A 23,841-nucleotide genomic window follows, 5' to 3' on the forward strand; every position below is an offset into this window, starting at 1 on the left:
CACCACGCCCAGCCTAAATAATAATCTTGAAAAATCATATTTTTAATACCCTCAGAGAGCTGGTGAAGCAAGAAGGGCCAGCAGACCTAAAATTCTAGAGTACGGAGAACCATAGAGAAGCCAGCTAACAATTGCAACAGAATTCTCCCTGGGGTATTTACTAATTCTACAATTGAGCAAGAGGCTAAGAATCCAAGCATTGCCCAGACAAGGTTGCAGAAAAGCCAGCTGAGCTGAGTCATCTCATAACACTGGAGGAAGAAAATTGGGGAGTCAAAGAGCCTTTAAAACATAACAGATTTTTTCCTTAAGATATTTACCAAATTCTGAAGCTGTGTAGAACTAGAGGCTATAAAAATCTAAGCCTCTGGTGAGGCATGGTGGCTCATGCCTGCAATCCCAGCACTTTGGTGAGGCTGAGGTGGGCGGATCATCTGAGGCTAGGAGTTAGAGACCAGCCTGGCCAACACAGTGAGCCCCTGTCTCTACTAAAAATGCAAAAATTAGCCAGGCCTGGTGGTGCGTGTCTGTAATCCCAGCTACTCAGGAGGCCGAGGCAGGAGAATCACTTCAACCCAGGAGGAGGAGGTTGCAGTGACCATGCCAACGCACTCCAGCCTGGGTGATAGAGTAAGACTCCGTCTCAAAATAAATAATAATAAAAAAATAAGCCCCAAACTTCTGAGAAGCAGAGTAGAATTTCTGACTGATAGCGATGAAGATTCGAATTTAGGACCCACCTGGGCAAAGGGATTGGCAAACACACAGGGCTTTCATATGAATGCTCAGGAGGGCTCCTTACTGGGAACAGGATGAAACAGGTGGACTGAAATTTGTCAAAATTGTAATGCAGGCTGGGCACGGTGGTTCATGCCTGTAATCCCAGCACTTTGGGAGGCCAAGGCGGGCGGATCACGTGGTCAGGAGATCGAGACCATCCTGGCTAACATGGTGAAACCCCATCTCTACTAAAAATACAAAAAATTAGCTGGGTGTGGTGGCACACGCCTGTAGTCCCAACTACTCGGGAGGCGGAGGCAGGAGAATCGCTTGAACCCGGGAGGCAGAGGTTGCAGTGAGCCGAGATCGCACCACTGTACTCCAGCCTGGAAGACCAAGCGAGACTCCATCTCAAGAAAAAAAAAAAAATTGTAGTGCAGCCTCAAACCATAAAGTCCCTGATGGGGTTAAAGTGATCAGCACTCATTCTATGTGCCTAGCAAGGAAAAGTTGGAAGAAAAAACATCTGTAAGTTTTTATACACAATTTCTGGGTCTAATAAAAATTACTAGTTTGCTAAAAGGTAGGGCCATATCAATAAAACAAGAGAAAAACTAGGAAATAGAAACAGGTGATCTAACTGTTAAAAAAGGAAGACAAGGAGTCAACAATAGAGGAAAACAAAAATTAGCCAGGCATGGTGGCACATGCTTGTAATCCCAGCTACTTGGGAGGCTGAGGCAGGAGAATCTGTTGAACCCAGGAGGTGGAGGTTGCAGTGAGCCGAGATCGTGCTAGTGCACTCTAGTCTGGGCAACAAGAGTGAAGAGCGAAACTCCGTCTCAAAAAAAAAAAAAAAAAAAAAAAGAGGAAAATATGGAAGAAATAGACAAACTATCATTAACTTAAAATAATCAAGAGGGTCAGAATGTGTTTTAAAGACAGTGTATTCAAGAGCAAAGTTCTGGCCAGATGCAGTGGCTAATGCCTGTAATCCCAGGACTTTGGGAGACTGAGAAGGGTGGATCACTTGAATCTGGGAGTTCAAGACCAGCCTGGGCAACATAGGAAAACTCCCATCTCTACATAAAATTTTTTTTTTCTTTCTTTTTTTTTTTTTGAGACGGAGTCTTGCTCTGTCACCCAGGCTGGAGTGCAGTGGTGCGATCTTGGCTCACTGCAAGCTCCGCCCCCCGGGTTCATGCCATTCTCCTGCCTCAGCCTCCTGAGTAGCTGGGACTACAGGCGCCCACCACCACGCCCGGCTAATTTTTTGTATTTTTAGTAGAGACGGGGTTTCACTGTGTTAGGATGGTCTCGATCTCCTGAGGTCGTGATCCGCCCGCCTCAGCCTCCCAAAGTGCTGGGATTACAGGCTTGAGCCACTGCACCCGGCCTCTACATAAAAATTTTAAAAATTAGCTGGGTGTGGTGGTGTGTGCATTTGTAGTCCCAACTACTCGGGAGGCTGAGGTGGGAGGATTGCTTGTGTCCAGGAGGTTGAGGCTGCAGCGAGCTGTGATTGCACCACTGTACCCCAGCTTAGGCGGCAGAGCAAAACCTTGTCTCGACAGAAAAAAAAAAATTAAACCAAGCTAATTAAGAAAGGAGGTGGTTATAAAATTGTTCGTCAGGAATTATCATTGATTTGCAGAAGGAACATTGGTTCGTGATTGGCTATACCTTGTTGAACTATAGGGTTTATGGTATTTTATGGCAGCTTGGTGTCAGTTAGTCTAGAGTCCACATAGCAAGTGGCTTCAAGAGGTAATTATTTTTCTCAAGAGGGAATGAGACGTGACCGTGGCTATGTTTTTAAACATCTTTCTGAGCCTGACAATTTATTTATTTATTTATTTTAAACGGAGTTTCGCTCTGACCCCCAGGCTGGAGTGCAGTGGCGCGATCTCGGCTCACTGCAAGCTCCGCCTCCCGGGTTCACGCCATTCTCCTGCTTCAGCCTCCCGAGTAGCTGGGACTACAGGCGCCCGCCACCACGCCTGGCTAATTTTTTTTGTATTTTTTAGTGGAGACGGGGTTTCACCTTGTTAGCCAGGATGGTCTCGATCCCCTGACCTCGTGATCCGCCCGTCTCGGCCTCCCAAAGTGCTGGGATTACAGGCGTGAGCCACCACGCCCAGCCGAGCCTGACAATTTAAAGAGACCCATATTCCTCAGATAAAAGATTTTTTTCCTTCTCAATTTTTTTTTTTTTTAGACGGAGTCTCATTCTGTCACGCAGGCTGGAGTGCAGTGGCCCGATCTCGGCTCACTGCAACCTCCACCTCCCGGGTTCATGCAATTCTCCTGCCTCAGCCTCCCGAATAGCTGGGATTACAGGCGCCCGCCACCATGCCCGGCTAATTTCTTTGTATTTTTAGTAGAGACGGGGTTTCACCATGTTGGCCAGGCTGGTCTCGAACTCCTGAGCTCGTGATCCGCCCGCCTCAGCCTCCCAAAGTGCCAGGATTACAGGCATGAGCCACTGCGCCCGGCCTCTTTCTCAATATTGAAACAGGGTCCTGCGTGTGTGCAACTGAAACCACTAGAGAGGAAGATGGGAATCTTAGAAGGGAAAGAGCCAGAGAGGGAAATCCCCACATTCTGTCTGCCCACACCTCCGCCCAAGCTCTGAACCCCACATAGGGAACTCAGACTCCACGCAGCTCAGTTAAAGACAGAAGATCTAAAGTGGCCAGGTGTGGTGTCTTGCGCCTATAATCCCAGCTACTCAGGAGGCTGAAGCCAGGAGTTCAAGACCAGTGTAGGCAACATAGTGAGGAACCACCCCCCAATCTCTAAAAATAAAATAAAATAAAATAAAAAAGATCTAAACTGAAAATTGGAGCTGCCAACTCAATAAGGGTGACTGTAGTATATATGTAACTGAGCTAACCGCCTGATAAAATTAAAAAACATCACTCTTTGGGGAAAAGTAACTGAAACCAGAGTCTCCAACATTTACAAGTGCCACCAAAGAGATGGTCCAGATATCGGAATTAACAAACAAGGATATGAAAGCATCAATGAAAATATTATCTCAAAGCTGGGCACAGTGGCTCACGCCTATAATCCCAGCACTTTGGGAGGCCCAGGCGGGCGGATCAGCTGAGATCAGGAGTTCAAGATCAGCCTGAACAATATGGTGAAACCCCGTCTCTACTAAAAATACAAAACTTAGCCGAGCGTGGTGGCATGTGCCTATAGTCCCAGCTACTCGGGAGCCTGAGGCGGGAGAATCGCTTGAACCCGGGAGGCAGAGGTTGTAGTAAGCTGAGATGGTACCACTGCACTCCAGCCTGGGCTATAGCGAGACTCCGTCTCAAAAAAAAAAAAAAAAAGAAAGAAAGAAAGAAAAGAAAATATTATCTCAGTAAATTAAAAGACAGGCAACCTCGGGCTGGGTGCAGTGGTTCATGCCTGTAATCCCAGCACTTTGGGAGGCCGAGGTGGGTGAATCACCTGAGGTCAGGAGTTCAGGATTACCTTGGCCAATATAGTGAAACCCCATCTCTACTAAAAATAAAACAAAATTTAAAAATTTAAAAAAAATGAAGCTGAAATAAAAACATTTTCAAATAAAAGAAAACTAAGAGAATTAGTGCTGCACTATAAGAAACATTAAGGCGGGGCACAGTGGCTCACACCTGTAATCCCAGCACTTTGGTAGGCCAAGGCAGGTGAATCACTTGAGGTCAGGAGTTCCAGACCAGCCTGACTAACATGGCAAAACCCTGTCTCTACTAAAAACACACAAAAAAATTAGCCAGGCATGGTGGCCCATGCCTGTAATCCCAGCTACTCGGGAGGCTGCAGAGGGAGAATCACTTGAACCCAGGAAGCAGAAGTTGCAGTGAGTCGAGATCACGCCACTGCACTCCAGCCTGAACTCTGTCTCAAAACAAACAAACAAACAAACAAACAAAAGATAGGCCAGGCACGGTGGCTCACGCCTGTAATTCCAGCATTTTGGGAGGCCGAAGCGGAACACCTGAGGTCAGGAGTTGGAGACCAGCCTGGCCAACATGGAGAAACCCTGTCTCTACTAAAAATACAAAAATTAGCTGGGTGTGGTGGCACATGCCTGTAATCCCAGCTACTCGGGAGGCTGAGGCAGGAAAATCGCTTGATCCCGGGAGGTGGAGTTTGCAGTGAGCTGAAACCTCGACACTGCACTCCAACCTGGGTGACAGAGTGAGACTCCATCTCAAAAAAAAAAAAAAAAAAAAAGATAGTATTTAGGTAAACATAAAGATTATTTTTAATTTTTTTCTATTTTTTCTTTCTAGTAAGATGAAGGTCTCACTATGTTGACCAGGCTGGTCTCAAACTCCTGGCCTCAAGCAACTCAAGCAATCATCCCACTTCAGCCTCCCAAAGTGCTGGGATTACAGGCATGTGCCACCACTCCTGTTTAATTTTTGTATTTCTAGTAGAGACGGGGTTTCACCATGTCGGCCAGAATGATGTCGAACTCCTGACCTCAACTGATCCGCCTGCCTCGGCCTCCCAAAATGCTGGGATTACAGGAGTGAGTCACTATGCCCAGCCGGTCCCAGCACTTAGGGAGGCTGAAGCAGGAGGATCACTTGAGACCAGGAGTTTGAGACCAGGCTGGACAATATAGCAAGACCTTGTCTCTATTAAAAAGAAAAAATTAGCTAGGCATGGTGACATGTGCCTGTAGTCCTAGCTACTTGGGAGGCTGAGGCAGAAGGATTGCTTGAGTCCAGGAGGTCAAGGCTGCAGTGAGCTATGACTGCAGCACTGCACTCCAGCCCTGGGCAACAGAGCAAGACCCTGTCTCAAAAAAATTAAAAAAAAAAATAGAAAAAGTAAAAAAGTATTAAACTATAATAAGAGAGGAATTATAAGGAAGTAAAGAGGGAAGTACCCAAGGAAGGGCAAACTCAGTAGGGTCCCCACCCCCAAGGCAGGGGTTCAGACTTCACTGCATGCCACTCACTGGGCAGTGTGAAGTTCACTGATTAGCCCAGGCCAGAGCTGTTTCACAGTTGCCAGGCAAGAAACAACCCTCCAGGCCAAAAGCAAGCTAAGGCTGGTAGGCAGGTGCTTAGAGCACATGGGGACACCACCTGCCCAGAGCACATAGCAACACCACCTGCCCAGAGCACATAGCACCCGCATTGGGAGGCCCCTAGGAAACAACCTTCCAGGTCGCAGGTGAGCCCCAGCTGTCAGACAGATGCATCAAAAGAGCTGGAATGCCCCATGTGCTTGGAGTGCATGGTGTCCACACAGGATATGGAGGATGGGAATCAACCCTCTGGGATGCAGAAGAACTCAGATTGGTGAGCAGACGCACAGAGGAAGTTGGGGCACAGCCTTGACCGCACGTTGTCCATGCCTGGAGGGCTTTGGGGAAAACCATCCATGGCATAGGTAAGCCAAGACTAGGGGGCAGGTGCACAGAGTTAGGGAGCTGCCCCAGGTGGAAGGCCTGGAGTAAGCGGCAACCATGACAAGGAGTCCACAGCAAGTTGGTCACGGGGCCTAGACCAGATCGGCAAAGTTGCCAAGGGAGTGCCGGCTTTGGGTGTGCAGCTGGAGTGGAACACCAGCAGATCTCCCAAGGCGTGCCCTGCTGATGGACGATGGAGCAAGGCCCCTAGCTGGAGTGCACTGGAACCAGAAGACAAGCCCTTTCCTTCCTGCAATGTCCTTCTAGCGTCCTCTGCTGACAAAGCCTAACATTGTACTCATTGTAGGGAGAAATGCTTCGAGTCTAGTTATCGCTTAACAGACACCGAAGGGTAGGTAAATAATGAAGCTGAGAGGCAAAAAATAGGTAACTGGCAGAAACCATTCTTCCAGCTACTCCACTACCATATGCACTCTTTACACAAATTTTGAACTCCCTTAGTAGCTACATTCCTACTAACAAGATATCTCCTCTCTAAAAGTGAAGTTCTCAGCCTTCCCCCAAATGATAAGACACACAGTCCAAACAGTCACTGTATCCATAGCTGGCTAGATTACTCCACAGATTTGTCGTGATCCCTATTACCTAAAAACTATTACCTAAAAACTATTACCTGTGTCTATTACCTAAAAACTAGATTGTAAAGTTGACCTCCAACAATTTGCACATAAAATAACAAAGGGAGGCAAAAGACATGGTCAGTACATACAAATAAACACATGCATGTAAGAAGCAAAGAAGAATATGCATCGCTGCTACAGTCCTCGTTTTTGTAACTGATCATTTTTGTAACTAATCACGGTCATAGTTGACATCCATGGTTTCCTTAGAAAAATCCGAAGGCTGCACACTGGAACCCGGGAGAGCCTCTTTGTTTCTGCAATAGCCCTCTAGTGCCCTCTGCTGACAAAGCTTAACACTGTACTCACTGTACGGGATAAATGCTTAGCGTCGATCCGGTTATCATGGAACAGAACAGGTACTGAGAGTGAATCTGGAGCTGAGGCAGTGTTGATAACTGCCATACTAGGAAACCACTAAATATTCAGAAATTAAATAAGGCTGGGCACGGTGGTTCACGCCTATACCATGTCACTCGAGCTCAGGAATTCCAGACCAGCTTGGGCAACATGGCAAAACCCCACCTCTACTAAAAATACAAAAATTAGCCAGGCGTGGTGGCACGCACCTGTAGCCCCAGTTACTCGGGAGGCTGATGCATGAGAATAGCTTGAGCCTGCAAGGCACAGGTGGCAGTGAGCTGAGATCGCACCATTGCACCGCAGCGTGGGCAACAGAGAGTCTGTCTTAAAATAAATAAAATAAAATAAAATAAAATAAAATAAAATAAAATAAAATAAAATAAAATAATAAATAAAATAAAATACACTTATAAATAGCCCATGGGTCAAAGAAGAAATCATAAGGGAAATTAGAAAACACTTTGAACCCAGCTGGGCGCAGTGGCTCATGCCTGTAGTCCCAGCACTTTGGGAGGCTGAGGCGGGTAGATCACTTGAGGTTAGGAGTTCAAGATCAGCCTGGGGGCAACATGGTGAAACCTCATCTCCACTAAAAATACAAAAATTATCTGGGTGTGGTGGCACACACCTGCAATCTCAGCTACTTGGGAGGCTAAGACAGGAGAATTCCTTTGAACCCAGGAGGTGGAGGCTGCAGTGAGCTGAGATCGCACCACTGCACTCCAGCCTGGGCAACAGAGTCAGACTCTGTCTCAAAAAACAAAAACAAAAACAAAACAAAACAAAACAAAAAACCTAAAGAAAGTAAGAAGAAGGAAATTATAAAGAGCAGAAATTTGTAAAATAGAAAACAAATTTTATACGATGAAGAAAAAGAAAGTCGAAAGCTGTTTTTAAAAAAATTAATAAGGCTGGGCACGGTGGCTCACACCTGCAATCCTAGCACTTTGGGAGGCCGAGGCGAGTGGATCATGAGGTCAGGAGTTCGAGACCAGCCTGGCCAACATGGTGAAACCCCATCTCTACTAAAAATACAAAAATTAGCCGGGCGCAGTGGTGGGCGCCTGTAATCCTAGCTACTCGGGAGGCTGAAGCAGGAGAACTGCTTGAACCCAGGAGGCGGAGGCTGCAGTGAGCCGAGATCACACCACTGCACTCTAGCCTGGGTGACAGAGCAAGACTCTGTCTCAAAAAAATAAAATAATAATAATAATAATAATAAGAAACCAGGCATGGTGGCTGATGCTTGTAATCCTAGCACTTTGGGAGGTCGAGGCAGGTGGACTGCCTGAGCTCACCAGTTCGAGACCAGCCTGGGCAACATGACAAAACCCTGTCTCTACTAAAAATACAAAAAAAAAAAGCCGGGAGCAGTGGCTCACACCTGTAATCCCAGCACTTTGGGAGGCTGAGGCGGGCAGATCATGAGGTCAGGAGATCGAGACCATCCTGGCTAACACGGTGAAACCCCGTCTCTACTAAAAATGCAAAAAAAATTAGCTGGGCATGGTGGCGGGTGCCTGTAGTCGGCTACTCGGGAGGCTGAGGCAGGAGAAGGGCGTGAACCTGGGAGGCGGAGCTTGCAGCCAGCCGAGATCGCACCACTTCACTCCAGCCTGGGCGACAGAGCAAGACTCCGTCTCAAAAAAAAAAAAAAAAAAATTAGCCAGGTGTGGTGGTGCATGCCTGTAGTCCCAGCTACTTAGGAGGCTGAGGCACGAGAATTGCTTGAGCCTGGGAGGCAGAGGTTGCAGTGAGCCAAGATCGTGCCACTGCACTGCAGCCTGGGCGATAGAGTGAGACCCTGTCTCATAAAAAAAAATAAAAAACAAAAATAAAACGTTAATAAAATTGATAAACACCTATCAAAACTATTGAAGAAAAAAATATGAAAGAAAAGGGACATCACTGCAGTTCTTACATCCATTAAGTAATATTTAAGGATTGCCTGGTGACTTTTTTAATTTTTAAAAATTAATTAGTTATTATTATTCTTTAGACAGAGTCTCGCTCTGTTGCCAGGCTGGAGTGCAGTGGCATGATCTTGGCTCACTGCAACCTCCACCTCCTGGGTTCTAGCGATTCTCCTGCCTCAGCCTCCCAAATAGCTGGGACTACAGGCATGCACCACCACACCTGGCTAATTTTTTTGTATTTTTAGCACAAATGGGGTTTCACCATGTTGGCCAAGCTGTCTTGAACTCCTGACCTCAAGTGATCCGCCTGCCTTGGCCTCCCAAAGTGCTGGGATTACAGGTATGAGCCACTGCGCCCAGCCTGACTACTGACTTATAATACAGAAAAAAAAAGAATTGAGGAATGTTATGAAAACCTTCACACCAATACATCTGGAAATGTATACAAAATGATTTACCCAAACCTTATTCAAGGTTTATGCAAACACAAATTCACCCAAACCTTACTCGAGAAGTAGAATATCTGAATGTTCTTATATATAGTACAGGGATTTCATTATTTTAAACTCCCCCCCACCAAAAAAAAAATTTAGGTTTAGATGGCTTCATCAGTGTATTCTTTCAAATACTTGAAGAAGAAATATTACCTAGCTTACACTATCTCTTCCGGAGAATAGAAAAAGAAGAAATACCTTTCGCTTTATTGGATGAAGCCACCTTAACCTTAATACCCACCCTTGACAAGGTCCTTGACAAAGTTAAATTACAGACCAATCTCTCTCATGATACATATGTAAAACCTGAACAAAATTAGCAAATGAAATCCAGTGACATATAAAAAGGATAACATATCTGTGTCAGGGGTCTCCAAGATCACACCCAGTTTGGATGATTTGCTATAAGGACTTATGGGACCCAGCATACAGGTGTATTCATGCCTCTGATCTATTACAGTGAAATACAAAGCAAGGTCAACAAAGGGAAAAGATACATGAGGCACAGTCAAGGAGAAACTAGCAGCATGCTTCCAAGAGGTCTATCTCAGGGGGAATCACACAAGACGTTCATCATTCCTCCAGCAACAAATTCTGATAACATATGTGCAATGTTGTCTACTAGGAAAGCTCACTTGAGACTCAGGGTCCAAGTTTTATTTTTTTTATTTTTATTTTTTTAAACAGTTATGGTTCACTGCAGCCTCTTCCCTCTACCTCTTGGGCTCAAGCAATCTTCCTGCCTCAGCCTCCGAAGTAACTGGGACTACAGGTGTGCACCACCATGCCTGGCTAAATTTTTTTGTTTGGGTAGAGACAGGGTCTCACTGTGTTGTCCAGGCTGGTCTTGAACTCCTGAGCTCTATTGATCCTCCTGCCTCAGCTTCCCAAAGTGCTGGGATTACAGGCATGAGCCACTGGACCCAGCCCCCAAGGTTTTTACTGGGAGCTGATCATGAAGGCACCCTCTGCCTAACATGTTTCAAAACTCCAGACTCTGAGAAGGAGAACAGGTATTTAGCATAAGCCACATTGTTTGTACAGTTTAGGCACTGTGAGCCACTTTAAACTGGTGGGAACACTACCAAAAGCCAAGTTCCCTTACGCCAGGCAAGGGTCAACCTTGCAGTTGGGCCTCTCCAAAGACAGCAGCCTCAGGTCTGCTATGTTAAGTTTTTTCTGTACAGTCTCATAAGCAAATGGGTTTTTTATTTTTTCCAGGAAGACATGGTTGGTCATACCTCTGAAAATCAATGTAATTCATATTAGCAGAATAAAGGAGAAAAATCATATAGTCCTCTCAACGGATTAAGAGAACACACTTAATAAAATATATCATAAGCCTTTTAGCAAACTAGGATAATAAGGGACTTTCTTAATCTGATAAAGAGTATCTACAAAAAAAATCTATAGCCACCATATTAATGGTGAGATATTGAACGCTTCCCCTGAGGTTAGGAACAAGACAAGACTATCCATCATCACCACTTATAGTCAACATTACACTGCCAGTCCTGGCCAGTGCAATAAGGCAAGAAAAAGAAATTGAAGGTATAGAGATTGAGAAGGAAGTAAAAATGTCTTTATTTACTGATGATGTGATCATGTACATAACAAGCCTCCTAGAAATAATCAATTTAGCAAGGGCACTGGCTGTTGGGACAGTCTTGCATGGGTCCTAAGCATCCCTGCATGTTCTTACTATGTCAAACCAGAAAGTCTGTCTCCTGATACTGAGCACAGAAGCAATTAAGTAGACCAAAGTGACTATAGTGTGATGATAGTATAATTTCTCCCTCCCCAGTGGAAAGGGCCTGGCTTTATTTGCTGCTTGCTAAAAAGGGTACTGAGCCTTTGGCTCTGGGCTCCACCAAGCTGTGGCATAACTCCTTGAGTGCAGCACCATCTGGGGTCATTGTGTCACTCATAGGACTTGGGAGCAGGGGGCCCCCAGGTTGCCATGCTGATGTTCCTGCTGTTTGCCATAAGTAATTTGGCCTCACTGTCAGCTTTTGGCATCTATGAAGTTGTGGCATACTCTGACATAGATTAGCCAACTTTTTCTTAAAGGGTCAGATGGTATTTAAGGCTGTGGGCCATGTGGTCTCTGTTGCAACTACTTAACATTGCCATAATAGCATGAAAGCTGCAATATATAATAACATGTAAGTAAGTGACCATGATGACGTTCTCCAAAGAACTTTTATTTACAAAAACAAGCAGCTGGCCCACTTTCTTTGTTTTTCTTTTGAGACATAGTTTCACTCTTGTTGCCCAGGCTGGAGTGCAATGGCTTGGTCTCAGCTCACTGCAACCTCCGCCTCCCAGGTTCAAGCGATTCTTATGCCTCAGCCCCCCAAGTAGCTGGGATTAGAGGCATGTGCCATCATGCCCGGCTAATTTTGTATTTTTAGTAGAGATGGGGTTTCACCATGTTGGTCAGGCTGGTCTTGAATTCCTGACCTCAAGTGATCCACCCGCCTCAGCCTCCCAAAGTGCTGGGATTACAGGTGTGAGCCACCGCGCCAGGTGCAGCTGGCCCACTTTCTTTCCATATCAGGCTCAGAGCAGGAACTTTTCTAATGTCTCTTGTCTTGCAGGCAGCGAAGATGGGGAAGCAGGATCTGGATTCCTTTCCACCTTAACCTCTGTGCTCTGCGCTTTCCTACTTACCCTAAAGGGCTTCCTTGCCCTCCAGCTTGCAGTTAAGTTGTGTCAGCGGGAGACATAAGCAGAGATCAGAGATGGGAGAAGGGAAATGGAGGTCCCTGCTATATTTATCCACTAGCCTCCTAGAGTGTGAGGGTTCCTAGTGGGAGGCCTTCTATGCACATATTACTCTCCAGCTTCAGGGAATTGTTTCAGGCCCTTCCCTTTTAAGCCTAGAAGTAACAATTACCGCCCCACCACATCCCAATTAGCCAGGGGTACAGCACTTTGCTTAAAGCTTAGTCACTCTTGGCCGGGGGCATTAATCACACCTGTAATCCCAGCACTTTGGGAGGCGGGGGGGGGGGGGGGGGGGGGGGGGGGGGGCGGGTCACCTGAGGTCAGGAGTTCCAGACCAGCCTGGCCAACATGGTGAAACCCCGTCTCTACTAAAAATGCAAAAATATTTAGCCGGGTGTGGTGGGGGGCACCTGTAATCCCCGCTACTTGGGAGGCTGAGACTGGAGAATCGCTTGAACCCAGGAGGCGGAGGTTGCAGTGACCAGAGATAGCGCCATTGCACTCCAGCCTGGGTTACAAGAGCAAAACTCCGTCTCAAAAATAAAATGAAATAAATAAAATAAAGCTTAGTCACCTTCCTCAGGCTACCTGGTTGGAGCGTGCCATCTGTTTCCTGCTTTACCCTGATTGACAACGGGCTAACAGCCAAGTCAAGTCAACCTGAGTCCTCTCAAAACCCTTCTTTTTGCACTCCCCTGCCTGCAGCAACACAGTTTTCTGTTTTTTTTTTTTTTTGAGACAGAGTCTCACTGTCGCCCAGGCTGGAGTGCGGTGGCGCGATCTCAGCTCACTGCAACCTCCGCCTCCCGGGTTCGAGCGATTCTCCTACCTCAGCCTCCCAAGTAGCTGTAACTACTGGCGCGCGCCAGTACGCCCGGCTAATTTTTGTATTTTTAGTAGAGACGGGGTTTCGCCATGTTGGCCAGGCTGATTTCGAACTCCTGACCTCAGGTGATCCATCACCTCGGCCTCCCAAAGTGCTGGGATTACAGGCGTGAGCCACTAAGCCCGGCCAGCAACACGCTTTTACCGCTGCAAATCCGGATCAGGCAGGCTTTGAAGCCCAGCTCACAGGCCGTCTCTTGGAAACTAACTTAGATTTCCACCTGGGAGCACTTTGTCCTCTCAGCTCCCACTGCACCACTTTATGGATCGCGTGGTGACTCGTTTCATTTTATTTATGTGTGTTCCTGGAAAGGACGCTCTATTTCCTTCGTGTCTCTACCTGGTAGGTAAATCGGCCGCAGAAAAGACCAATGCTAACTCCACCCTGCATTTGCAGAGATCCGTCGCTCACACCTTTTCTTGTCTTCCGTTGAAAAAAGAGAATCGTGGGAGTAGGACCTATTTGCCAATCTCCTGGTAACACTATCACAACTGGCCACTTCCGCCCAACGCCCGGTAGTCTGAGAGCCTCCAAGGTCCTCCCCCGCACCCCTGAGGTCCTGCAGACGACGGCGTCGTGGGTGGTCACCGTTATCCCTTAGGTCTGGAGAGGGGACATCCGAGCGAGGGCCACTTGCGGCCAGGCCCGAGCTCGTCCAGCTCCGGGTGACCACAGAGTGCCGCGGGCGGGCAGAGGGGCCGGAAACCCAGGCCGCTTCGTCCCTGTTTCCGGCAGCGCCGCGCTGCTCCGGGAGCCGCTGTGGCAGCGTATGCTGCCACGGGGACTGAAGATGGCGCCGCGAGGTGAGATTCCGGAGGTGTGTGAGTCGCTGGTCCCTTTCCCTTCGGTCGCTCCCTCCCACCTCTGTCCCAGAGCTTGACCTAAACCCTCCATTCTCTAGCGTTAGGGACGTCGCGCCTCCCTGGTCCAAAGCCGGCTTCCGCGGTCCCGCCCACCCTGGGTGCCTGAAGGTCTCAAGGTGCACAGCTCAAATAAACGCAGATCCTTGGCTGGGCCACTTCTAGGCTGGCTCAGGTGCGAATCTGTTGGTCTCTGCGCCCCAACTTCCCCTCCCAAATAGTGACAGAGTGAGATCTTTGAGATGTCTGTCAGCTGCGAGTTACCTCTTGACTTTTATTCCTGAAGCCGAAGAGTCGAGTTTCACGGTGATTCCTAGGAAAGGAGGGAAGCCCCCTCCACTCCCACCCCCGTACCCTCGCCCCCTCATTATCAGCAACCAGAAGTGCCCCTGAGTGGCCGGTCCCATTAGTTGCAGCGTCTAGTTTCCCCAAAGTTAGACACCAACCCATACGAGCAGAGAGGGAGCTGCCTTCCGGCCCATCCCACTTCTCTGTGCTCCTTTTTCAGGTAAACGGTTGTCCTCCACCCCGCTGGAAATCCTGTTCTTTCTGAACGGGTGGTATAATGCTACCTATTTCCTGCTGGAACTTTTCATATTTCTGTATAAAGGTAAGGAAGGCTTGGGGCTTGACGACAGCATCCCTTCCCCACTTCAGCTCAGAGCCAATTCCTACCAAGAACCTTCTTATTTTCCGTTCTTTTCTGCCCCCTGCAGTTCTTTGTCGCTGCAAGGCAGGCCTCCTCATCAGATGGCTTCTTTGAGTATGATTCCATAGGCAGCCCCTCAGCAAGAATTTCTTGAGTTTGAGAAATGTGGGCTTCTCCATTCTGACTCTGCCCACATCACTGCTCTTTGCTGAGCTCCACTGTAAGCCCACTGGTGACCCTTAGAAACTATTCAGTGGCCTGTGTACCCATGTACATCCAATCATTTTGGAGAGTGGAGTCCCCAGAGACTTTTGGAGTTAGGAGTAAAACACCATAATAATGAGCCTGAGTCGCATTGTGAGTTTATGTATCCTGCTGCTGTAATAATGCCCACATCTCACTAACTAGTTCATGGAAAGCTGAGACTGATGTCCTCTTTTTTCCCAAGTGTGTGGCAGTTCTTGTGGGTGCTGTTATATGCTGTTTGCAAACTCTGGCTTTTGTATTGGCAGGTGTCCTGCTACCATATCCAACAGCTAACCTAGTACTGGATGTGGTGATGCTCCTCCTTTATCTTGGAATTGAAGTAATTCGCCTGTTTTTTGGTAAGTGTTGTCCAGAGAATATTTCCACTCCTTATGAGACAAGCTGGTATCTGTAACTTGATTAACAAGAAAAGTACATAACCTAGGTTGACTATCATAGACTGGATCTGTATATCCTATTACTCCGTCTCTGAAGTTTCAAGTTGCTGCTTCATACATTGGGTCAAGATTTACCTGTTTGTTGCTCTGTAAGGCTAGAGATGGGCAATAGAATGGGATATTAGATGATTCCTTCCCAGCTGCCTAACTGCAAGAAGAGTGCTTGGTTCTTCTCACTAGTATTCTTAGGGGAATAGGTTCAGTTGTAACTCCACGTCAGGGCAGGCAGTGTATCCTGTACAGATCAGTACTAAGATCCCTAACAATTCTCTGAATAAGGATCTCTGTAGGAGTTTTTTGTTTTTTTTTTTTGAGATGGAGTCTCACTCTGTCCCCAGGCTGGAGTGCAATGGCACGATCTCGGATCACTGCAATCTCTGCCTCCCGGGATCAAGCGATTCTCCTGCCTCAGCCTCCTGAGTAGCTGGGATTACAGGCGTGCACCACTGCTCCCAGCTAATTTTTGTATTTTTAATAGAGACGGGGTTTCACCATGTTGGCCAGGATGGTCTCGATCTCTTGACCTTGTGATCTGCCTGTGTCGGCCTCCCAAGGTGGTGGGATTACAAATGTGGGCCACTGCACCTGGTTGGATTTTTTTTTTTTTTTGAGATGGAGTCTCACTCTGTCACCTGGGCTGGAGTGCAGTGGCACCATCTCGGCTCACTGCAGCCTCCGCCTCCCGGGTTCAAGCAATTCTCCTGCCTCAGCCTCCTGAGTAGCTGGGACTGCAGGCGCCTGCCACCATGCCCGGCAAGTTTTTATATTTTTAGTAGAGATAGAGTTTCACCATGTTGGCTAGGATGGTCTCGATCTCCTGACCTCATGATCCACCCGCCTTGGCCTCCCAAAGTGCTGGGATTATAGGTGTGAGCCATCACACCTGGCCAGATTTTGTTTTTTAAACATTTATTTATTTGAGACAGGGTCTCATTCTGTCACCTAGGCTGTAGTACAGTGGTACGATCATAGCTCACAGCAGCCTTGAAGCCCTGGGCTCAAGCAGTCCTCCAACTTCAGCCTCCTGAGTAGCTGGGACCACAGGTGTGCGACATCATACCTGGCTAATTTTGTGTTTTTTGTAGAGACAGTGTCTTGCCTTGTTGCCCAGGCTGGTCTGAAGCTCCTGGCCTCAAGCAATCTTCCTGCCTTGGCCTCCCCAAGGTGCTGGGATTACAGGCGTGAGCCAACATGCCTGGCCTGTAGGACAAGTTTTATAACCCCAGAAATACAGAGCAAAACCCTTATTTGTTAGAATATGTCATCCCTGAAATCAACGTTAAAGCACAAACTTAGGAACAAAATTACTTGCAACATATAAGAAAGGATAAAAGAAGGCTCACATAAATCACTAAGGAAAAAACAAAATAACTTTAAAAATTGGCTGGGCGCAGTGGCTCACGTCTGTAATCCCAGCACTTTGGGAGGCCGAGGTGGGTGGATCATTTGAGGTGAAGAGTTTGAGACCAGCTTGGCCAACATGGTGGCCGTCTCTACTAAAAATACAAAAATTAGCTGGGTGTGGTGGCGCGCACCTGTAATCCCAGCTACTTGGGAGGCTGAGGCAGTAGAATCGCTTGAACCCAGGAGGCAGAGGTTGCAGTGAGCCAAGATCGCCCACTGCACTCTAGCCTGGGCGACAAAGTGAGACTCAAAAAAAAAAAAAAATTGGTAAGGGACATTAATGGCAGTTCATGTAAAAATAATTACAGAGAACCAGTAAAACTTGACAAGATGCTCAAACTCGCTAATAAAAATCAAATTGAAACAAAGTAACATTTTTTACCCATCAGACTGGCAAAGAAAGATTTATAACACCCAGTATTAGGGTGTGGGGAACAGGTTGTTATACACTTTTGTGGTAATTTAATTTAGTACAACTCTTGGGTAGTAGTTATTACTGTGTAATGTTTTACTGTTAGCCCCAACAATTTCACTTCTAAAACTAGATTAAAAAAAAATTCCACAGATATGCGAAGATAGCTATATGAGAATGTTTATTGCCAAAAATTTGGTAACATCAAAACACTGTAAACAAACTAAACATCTGTCCATACGGGATTGTTAAATCAGTTACGGCACTGATTCAACGGACTTGTATATAACCATTAAAAAAGAACAGTTGCTGGGCATGGTGGCTCACGCCTGTAATCCCAGCACTTTGGGAGGCTGGGGCAGGCAGATCACGAGTTCAGGAGATCGAGACCATCCTGGCCCACATGATGAAACCCCATCTCTACTAAAAATACAAAAATTAGCTGGGTGTGGTGGCACGTGCCTGTAATCCCAGCTACTCGGGAGGGTGAGGCAGGAGAATCACTTGAGCCCGGGAGGCGGAAGTTGCAGTGAGCCGAGATTGCACCACTGCACTCTAGCCTGGCGAGAGAGCTAGACTCTGTCTCAAAAAATTAAAAAAAATTAAAAAGAACAGTTAAGGCCAGGTGCAGTGGCTCACGCCTGTAATCTTAGCACTGTGGGAGGCCGAGGCGAACGGATTGCCTGAGGTCAGGAGTTCGTGACCAGCCTGGCTAACATGGTGAAATCCTGTCTCTACTAAAAAATACGAAAATCAGCTGGGCATGGTGGCGGGCACCTGTAATCCCAGCTACTTGGGAGGCTGAGGCAGGATAATCGCTTGTACCTGGGAGGTGGAGGTTGAAGTGAGCCGAGATCGCTCCATTGCACTCCAGCCTGGGTGACAAGAAACTCCGTCTCAATAAAAAAAAAAAAAAATTAGCTGGGCATAGTGACGTGTACCTATAGTGGGAAGATCCCTTCAGCCCAGGGGTTCGAGGCTGCAGTGAGCTATGATGATGCAATTGCACTCCAGCCTGGGTGACAGAATTAAACACTATCAAAAAAAAAAAAAAATTAAGGTAGCTATGTGTGTGGAAAAATGTTTGTGGGGGAAAAATAAGTTGCAAAACAGGATGTAGGGTATGCTTCTATTTTTATAATAATAAATAGTAATATGTGAATATATACGTATAAAAAATCTGAAACAATACACGTCATTCTCTAATAATCTTCAGGGTGTAGGGACATGGAGGTCTTTCACTTTCTATAGTCTCAAAAATTATTTTCTGTGTTGAAATTTTTTTTTTTTTTTGAGACGGAGTCTTGCTTTGTTCCCCAGGCTGGAGTGCAGTGGCGTGACCTCTGCTCACTGCAAGCTCCACCTTCCGGGTTCACACCATTCTCCTGCCTCAGCCTCCCGAGTAGCTGGGACTACAGGCGCCCGCCACCACGCCCGGCTACTTTTTTTGTATTTTTAGTAGAGATGGGGTTTCACCGTGTTAGCCAGGATGGTCTCCATCTCCTGACCTTGTGATCCACCTGCCTTGGCCTCCCAAAGCGCTGGGATTACAGGTGTGAGCCACTGCACCCGGCCATTGAAAATTTTTAAATGATTATATATTATTTTTATAATTAAAAATTTTGTTTTTCCCAAATAAAGATCCCATTGTCCCTTGAGTGGGAACCAGACTGGAAGCAGGACCTCTGGATTAAGTGACTTTAATCTTGTAGCTCTCCTAAGCCTCAAACTTTTAGTACAGTGGGACCCCATTTATAAATCTGCACACCCCCACTCAGGATTATTTTTTGTGCCTTGCCATTCCATCACATCTCCCACGCCTTTCCCCTGGGCCAGGAAAAGCAGACCATTTGGAGATGACTCCATGGGCTGTGTCTGACAGGTACAAAGGGAAACCTCTGCCAGCGAAAGATGCCGCTCAGTATTAGCGTGGCCTTGACCTTCCCATCTGCCATGATGGCCTCCTATTACCTGCTGCTGCAGACCTACGTACTCCGCCTGGAAGCCATCATGAATGGCATCTTGCTCTTCTTCTGTGGCTCAGAGCTTTTACTTGAGGTGCTCACCTTGGCTGCTTTCTCCAGGTACTGCTGCTGAGGGACCATTTCTCATCACTAGAGGGTTGGGTTCCCATCCCAGGGAGGGATTCAGTATTCTTCTGAAGCCTAAGGGGTCTAGAAGACTTTTTTCTAGAGGGAGGAAGGGGTGGCTATGGGATTGCCTTTCCTGTTTAGGGTAGGTAGATCGTTTCCCACTCAGGGAAGATACTCTCCCTATCCTTTGGGGCCAGGAGGCTTGGAATATAGAACAGTCGAGGCCAGCTGCTCTCATTCACTGGTCTTTTAACATTTTCTTTCTTTCTGCCATCGTATGGACAGGATTTGAAGTACAGAATTTCAGCCAGCAGCCCATCAGGCTGACACCACACATATTGCTTCTGGTACTTTAGCCACACCAGTGAGAATTGGTGGGGCAAGTTGTCCTGAGAAAGGCTGTGTGGCTTTTCTTCAGCACAGACATTTGGGCAAGCAACTCAGCATAAGGCCAGTGGGTACCATCTTCTAAACCAGGACCATCAGCCCAAGAGACTCTTCTACACTCCAGTATAGGGAGGGGCAAGGTTATTCCCATCCTGCCCCTTCTCAGAACCAGTCCCCTGCTGACCTCAAGTTCTCCTCCTTGATCACCGTGGCCAGAGCATCTCGTGTGGACCATCTAGGCTCCTTGGGCTTCAAGCAGGACCTGAGCCACATGCTCCCTGTACGAGCTGTGCTATACCTGTCCCACATGAGCACGGAGAGCCTCATGTTGGTGGGTTTCCAGAGTGATGTGAAAGCCTCTCACCCCAATCCTCGGAGACTGAGTTCCACAACTTTTTTAGTAGCTCATAGTGTTATTTTTCTACTCTCTTCATGAAACTAACTTTATTTTATAATAAATATGTATTTTCTGTTGTGGGGGTTGCAGCCTTTCCTTATGGCACCTGTCCCTAGAATTCATCCACTCCAAGAGAGGGTCATGACTATCCCAGCAGTTTGTTCTCAGGAGCTTTGCTTAGTGATACAGTGTGGACAAAAGGCAGTGATGACCACTGATTTTCTTCCCCAAGCTGCAGCCTAAATTAAACCCTAAATGCACTGCCATCCTCTGTATCTTCAAGTCTCTCGTCATGCAAAAGACTGCTTATTTGCTTCACTCTGCCCCAAAGTCAGCATCTTGTCTCACTCCTCTTACAGATAATTGTTAGCTTTTTTCCAGTGGGCCATGTGAAACTGGAAGAAGCATATTCTAAACTAACTTTTTTTTTTTTTTTAATTTTGGAGACAGTGTCTCAGTCTGTCATCCAGGCTGCAGTGCAGTGGCATGATCTTGGCTCACTGCAACCTCTGCCTCCCTAGCTCACGTGATCCTCCCACATCAGCCTCTCAAGTAGCTGGGACTACAGGCACACACCACCATGCCTGGCTTTTTTTTTTTTTTTTTGAGACGGAGTCTCGCTCTGTCACCTAGACTGGAGTACAGTGGCATGATCTCGGCTCACTGCAACCTCCGCCTCCTGGGTTCAAGTGATTCTTCTGCCTCAGCCTCCCGAGTAGCTGGGAATACAGGTGTGCACCACCATGCCGGGCTAATTTTTTTTTGTATTTTTAGTAGAGACGGGGTTTCACCATGCTGGCCAGGCTGGTCTCAAACTCCTGACCTCGTGGTCTGCCTGCTGGCCTACCAAAGTGCTGGGATTACAGGCATGAGCCACCGTGCCCAGCCCACTAATTTTTGTATTTATTGTAGAGATGGGGTCTTTGTTGCTCAGGCTGGTCTGTAACTCCTGGGCTCAAGCGATCCTCCCGCCTCTACCTCCTAATGTGCTCGGATTATAGGTGTGAGCCACTGCAACCAGCTGATGTTTTTTTTTTTTTTTTTTTGGTCATTTATTTTAGTATTTTGAGGCCTGGCACAGTGGCTTACACTTGTGATCCCAACATTTTGGGAGGCTGAAGCAGGAGGATTGCATGATTCCAGGAATTTGTGACCAGCCTGGGTAATATGGTGAGAACCTTGTCTCTACAAAAAATTTAAAAACAAGCCAGGTGTGGTGATGCGCACCTGTAGTCCCAGCTATTCAGGAGGCTGTGGCAGGAGGATAGCTTGAGCCCAGGAGGTCAAGACTGTAGTGAGCTATGTTTGTACCACTGTACTCCAGCCTGTGCAGGAGTGAGACCCTGTCTCAAAAATAAAATTTTGAGTCAACATAAAAGGAACACTTTTTTTTTTTTTTAAGCTGGAGAACTGTCACTCTAGATCAATGTATACTTTCTTTCTCCAAGTAAGCATCTTTAAAATTATTCCTCATTTCCTTGGTAGTGGCCATGTTTTTTAATTCCAAGAAGCCACGAGGAGCCATGACGGAATCCACTTCAGAAAACCTTGAGGCTCTTCTGTTTTCAGATGAATCCTAGATTATCTGCTCTTACTCGAAGTAAAATGTAACTTTAAGCATTCTATGCTGGCTTTAACTCTTACTTTCTATGATCAAGCTCATTCTTATCCTGAGGGGCTCTGCTGTCCAAAGCACTGATGTTTTTTCTTGTTTCCTACCCCTTCTGTGCCCTTGCCTCCCAGTTGCCCTTGGGGACTATCCAAAAACCAGAGTAGACAGGTCTAATCAGCCATGACACAGTAACAAAACCTTCAATAGGAACTGCCCTGATAATTACAAATCCCACTAATACCAATTTTCTGCTACTTTCTCCCTGTGTTGAAGAAATCGCTGGTATCAAACTGGAAGAGAGCCCATTCTGTATGGCCTATTTAGAGGTTCACTGGTTAAGCTCACTGCCACAGCAATATAAATGATTGGAAGGCTCAATTGGAAGTTGAAGGGTGCCTTATAAAATCCATTAGAATTTAAAGACCTATTTTAGAGATGAACCAAGTCTTACCCCCGACTTTGCAGGCTTAGAGATGAGAAGTGACATAACCAGCACCACACATCTGGTTATTAACAGGTGGAACTAGAAATCTTGCCTTAGGAGTCTGTCTGGATCAAGGAAATTCCATTTCCTCATACTTGAGAATGAGGATGATGGTTGAAAATGAGGCTGTGATTAGGAATAGGAAGTCCTCTCATTTACTGGGTGGTTATGTGGAAGTTTAGTGCATTGTGCTTCCTGTGGGTTGCGTGATAAATGTTCATTTTTCCTGATGCTTGTTGGAACCACCTGTGTAGATGCAGTTAGTCACATAATTAGGACATACAACAGAAACTGAGGCAGTGGAGGCCTGGCACAGTGGCTTACACTTGTGATCCCAACATTTTGGGATCACAGAAATCAGTGTAGCTAGTCTTTCAGATTTATCGTGGCCAGAGGCTGTGCTCACTAGAGTCAAGGGAAGCTGCTTTACAGTCCACACAGAGCTGGAGGTACCAAAATTCTGGGACAGTGGAGAGAACTGAGCAAAGCAACAGGCCCTGGTCATAAGCTTGGCAGAGGCCTGCTCAGCTACTCACACTCATGGCTAGAACCAGCAAGTGACTGCAGTGGTCTCGCCCAGTTTAGGAAGCATTTAGGGCAGATTGATTCTAGCTCCATACCATGGCAGCAGCTTGTGGAGACTACTAATCATCCAGTGCCTGGCAAAGTGTATTTCATTCATATAATGATCCTATGAGGCAGAAGGAAATTAATCAGATGTTAAGTCATGTGTCCAAGGGCATTCAGCTTAGAAATGGAACTGGGATTTGAACCTAGAGTAACCATAAAATCCTTCCTTTTCTACACCACCATGGTACCTCCTAGATGAAGCTGAATTTTGCCTCTAAGCTACTAGTCCTCACAATTTAGTTTACAAGTCATCTGGGGCATAAAAACCAGACACCTAGACCTTATGTAGAGATTGCTACAGCACAGGAACAGGTGTCTTAGCAAGCATGACGTACAACTAAGATGTGGGTTACCATGGAACCCAATTTGAAAGTAATAGTTTTACATTCTAAGGTATTCCAACTATTTTTTTTCCTTAAGTTTCACATCTTGATAGACCCTCTACGGAATCTCTTCTCCTAAAGCTTGTTTTTACAGTGATCTTGCCATTCCTGGTACCATACACATTATCATCTGGTCTGTGGTTCACTTTTTTTTTAAATCATTGAACCCTCCTTCACCTGGCTTTTTAAAGCCAAAAGCTTTTCTGGAGCCCCAAGATCACCCACACTATGTACTTCCTCATATTTAGGCAGTTTACAAAACATTCACATTTGTTATCTCTGACTCTTAAAACATCCCTGTGTAGAAGGCACAACAGCTATTATTTTCATTTTGTAGGTGAAAAAGACCAGGGTTACACTGCTTGTCCATATTTAGATAAACAGGTGGTAAACTAGGCACTACCAGTCAGATCTTCTAACTCCTATCAAAGGATTCTTCCCTTCCTGAACTTGATACTGGAATTTAACTGCACAAGGTAGAACATTTGCTCTGAAAATAAGTCTTAGGAATCTTGAAGGGTAAAGGATAACTTAGAAGTTTTCTTTAACCAGCTGTTTAGATGGCCAAGGAAAAAAGCTAAACCTTAAGGGATGCCTCCAAAGGTTTGCATTAGAGGTCTCTTAGGAGGCTTTCCACAGTCAACTAAAGCCATG

General features: G+C 46.5%; 1 protein-coding gene across 4 annotated transcripts, besides 2 other annotated features; it reads left to right on the forward strand.

Annotated features, from left to right (window-relative positions):
- Nucleotides 6,974-7,133: a silencer, noted in NCBI's record as "silent region_3391". NCBI's record gives its function as "represses an Ori minimal core promoter by ATAC-STARR-seq in GM12878 lymphoblastoid cells {active_cell/tissue: GM12878}" and the evidence as "EXISTENCE:reporter gene assay evidence [ECO:0000049][PMID:35858748]".
- Nucleotides 13,662-14,623: an enhancer, noted in NCBI's record as "H3K27ac-H3K4me1 hESC enhancer chr11:61159824-61160785 (GRCh37/hg19 assembly coordinates)". NCBI's record gives its function as "activates a minimal SCP1, AML or CMV promoter by ChIP-STARR-seq in primed H9 embryonic stem cells {active_cell/tissue: H9 hESC(primed)}" and the evidence as "EXISTENCE:reporter gene assay evidence [ECO:0000049][PMID:30033119]".
- TMEM216 (transmembrane protein 216) lies at nt 13,897-20,156 on the forward strand. 4 transcript variants are annotated; one of them, NM_016499.6, is made up of 5 exons: nt 13,897-13,989; nt 14,541-14,642; nt 15,194-15,286; nt 19,084-19,285; nt 19,571-20,156. In NM_016499.6, exons 3-5 carry the CDS (start codon nt 15,241-15,243, stop codon nt 19,584-19,586), a joined length of 264 nt encoding a protein of 87 aa, NP_057583.2. In that variant the 5' UTR covers nt 13,897-13,989; nt 14,541-14,642; nt 15,194-15,240; the 3' UTR covers nt 19,587-20,156. The 4 variants fall into 4 exon arrangements, with proteins under 4 accessions (NP_057583.2, NP_001317214.1, NP_001167462.1 ...); NM_001330285.2 differs by having other exon boundaries at nt 19,580-20,156; NM_001173991.3 differs by having other exon boundaries at nt 13,897-13,975.

This window comes from Homo sapiens, chromosome 11 (assembly GCF_000001405.40).
Source record: "Homo sapiens chromosome 11, GRCh38.p14 Primary Assembly".
Lineage (NCBI taxonomy): Eukaryota > Metazoa > Chordata > Mammalia > Primates > Hominidae > Homo > Homo sapiens.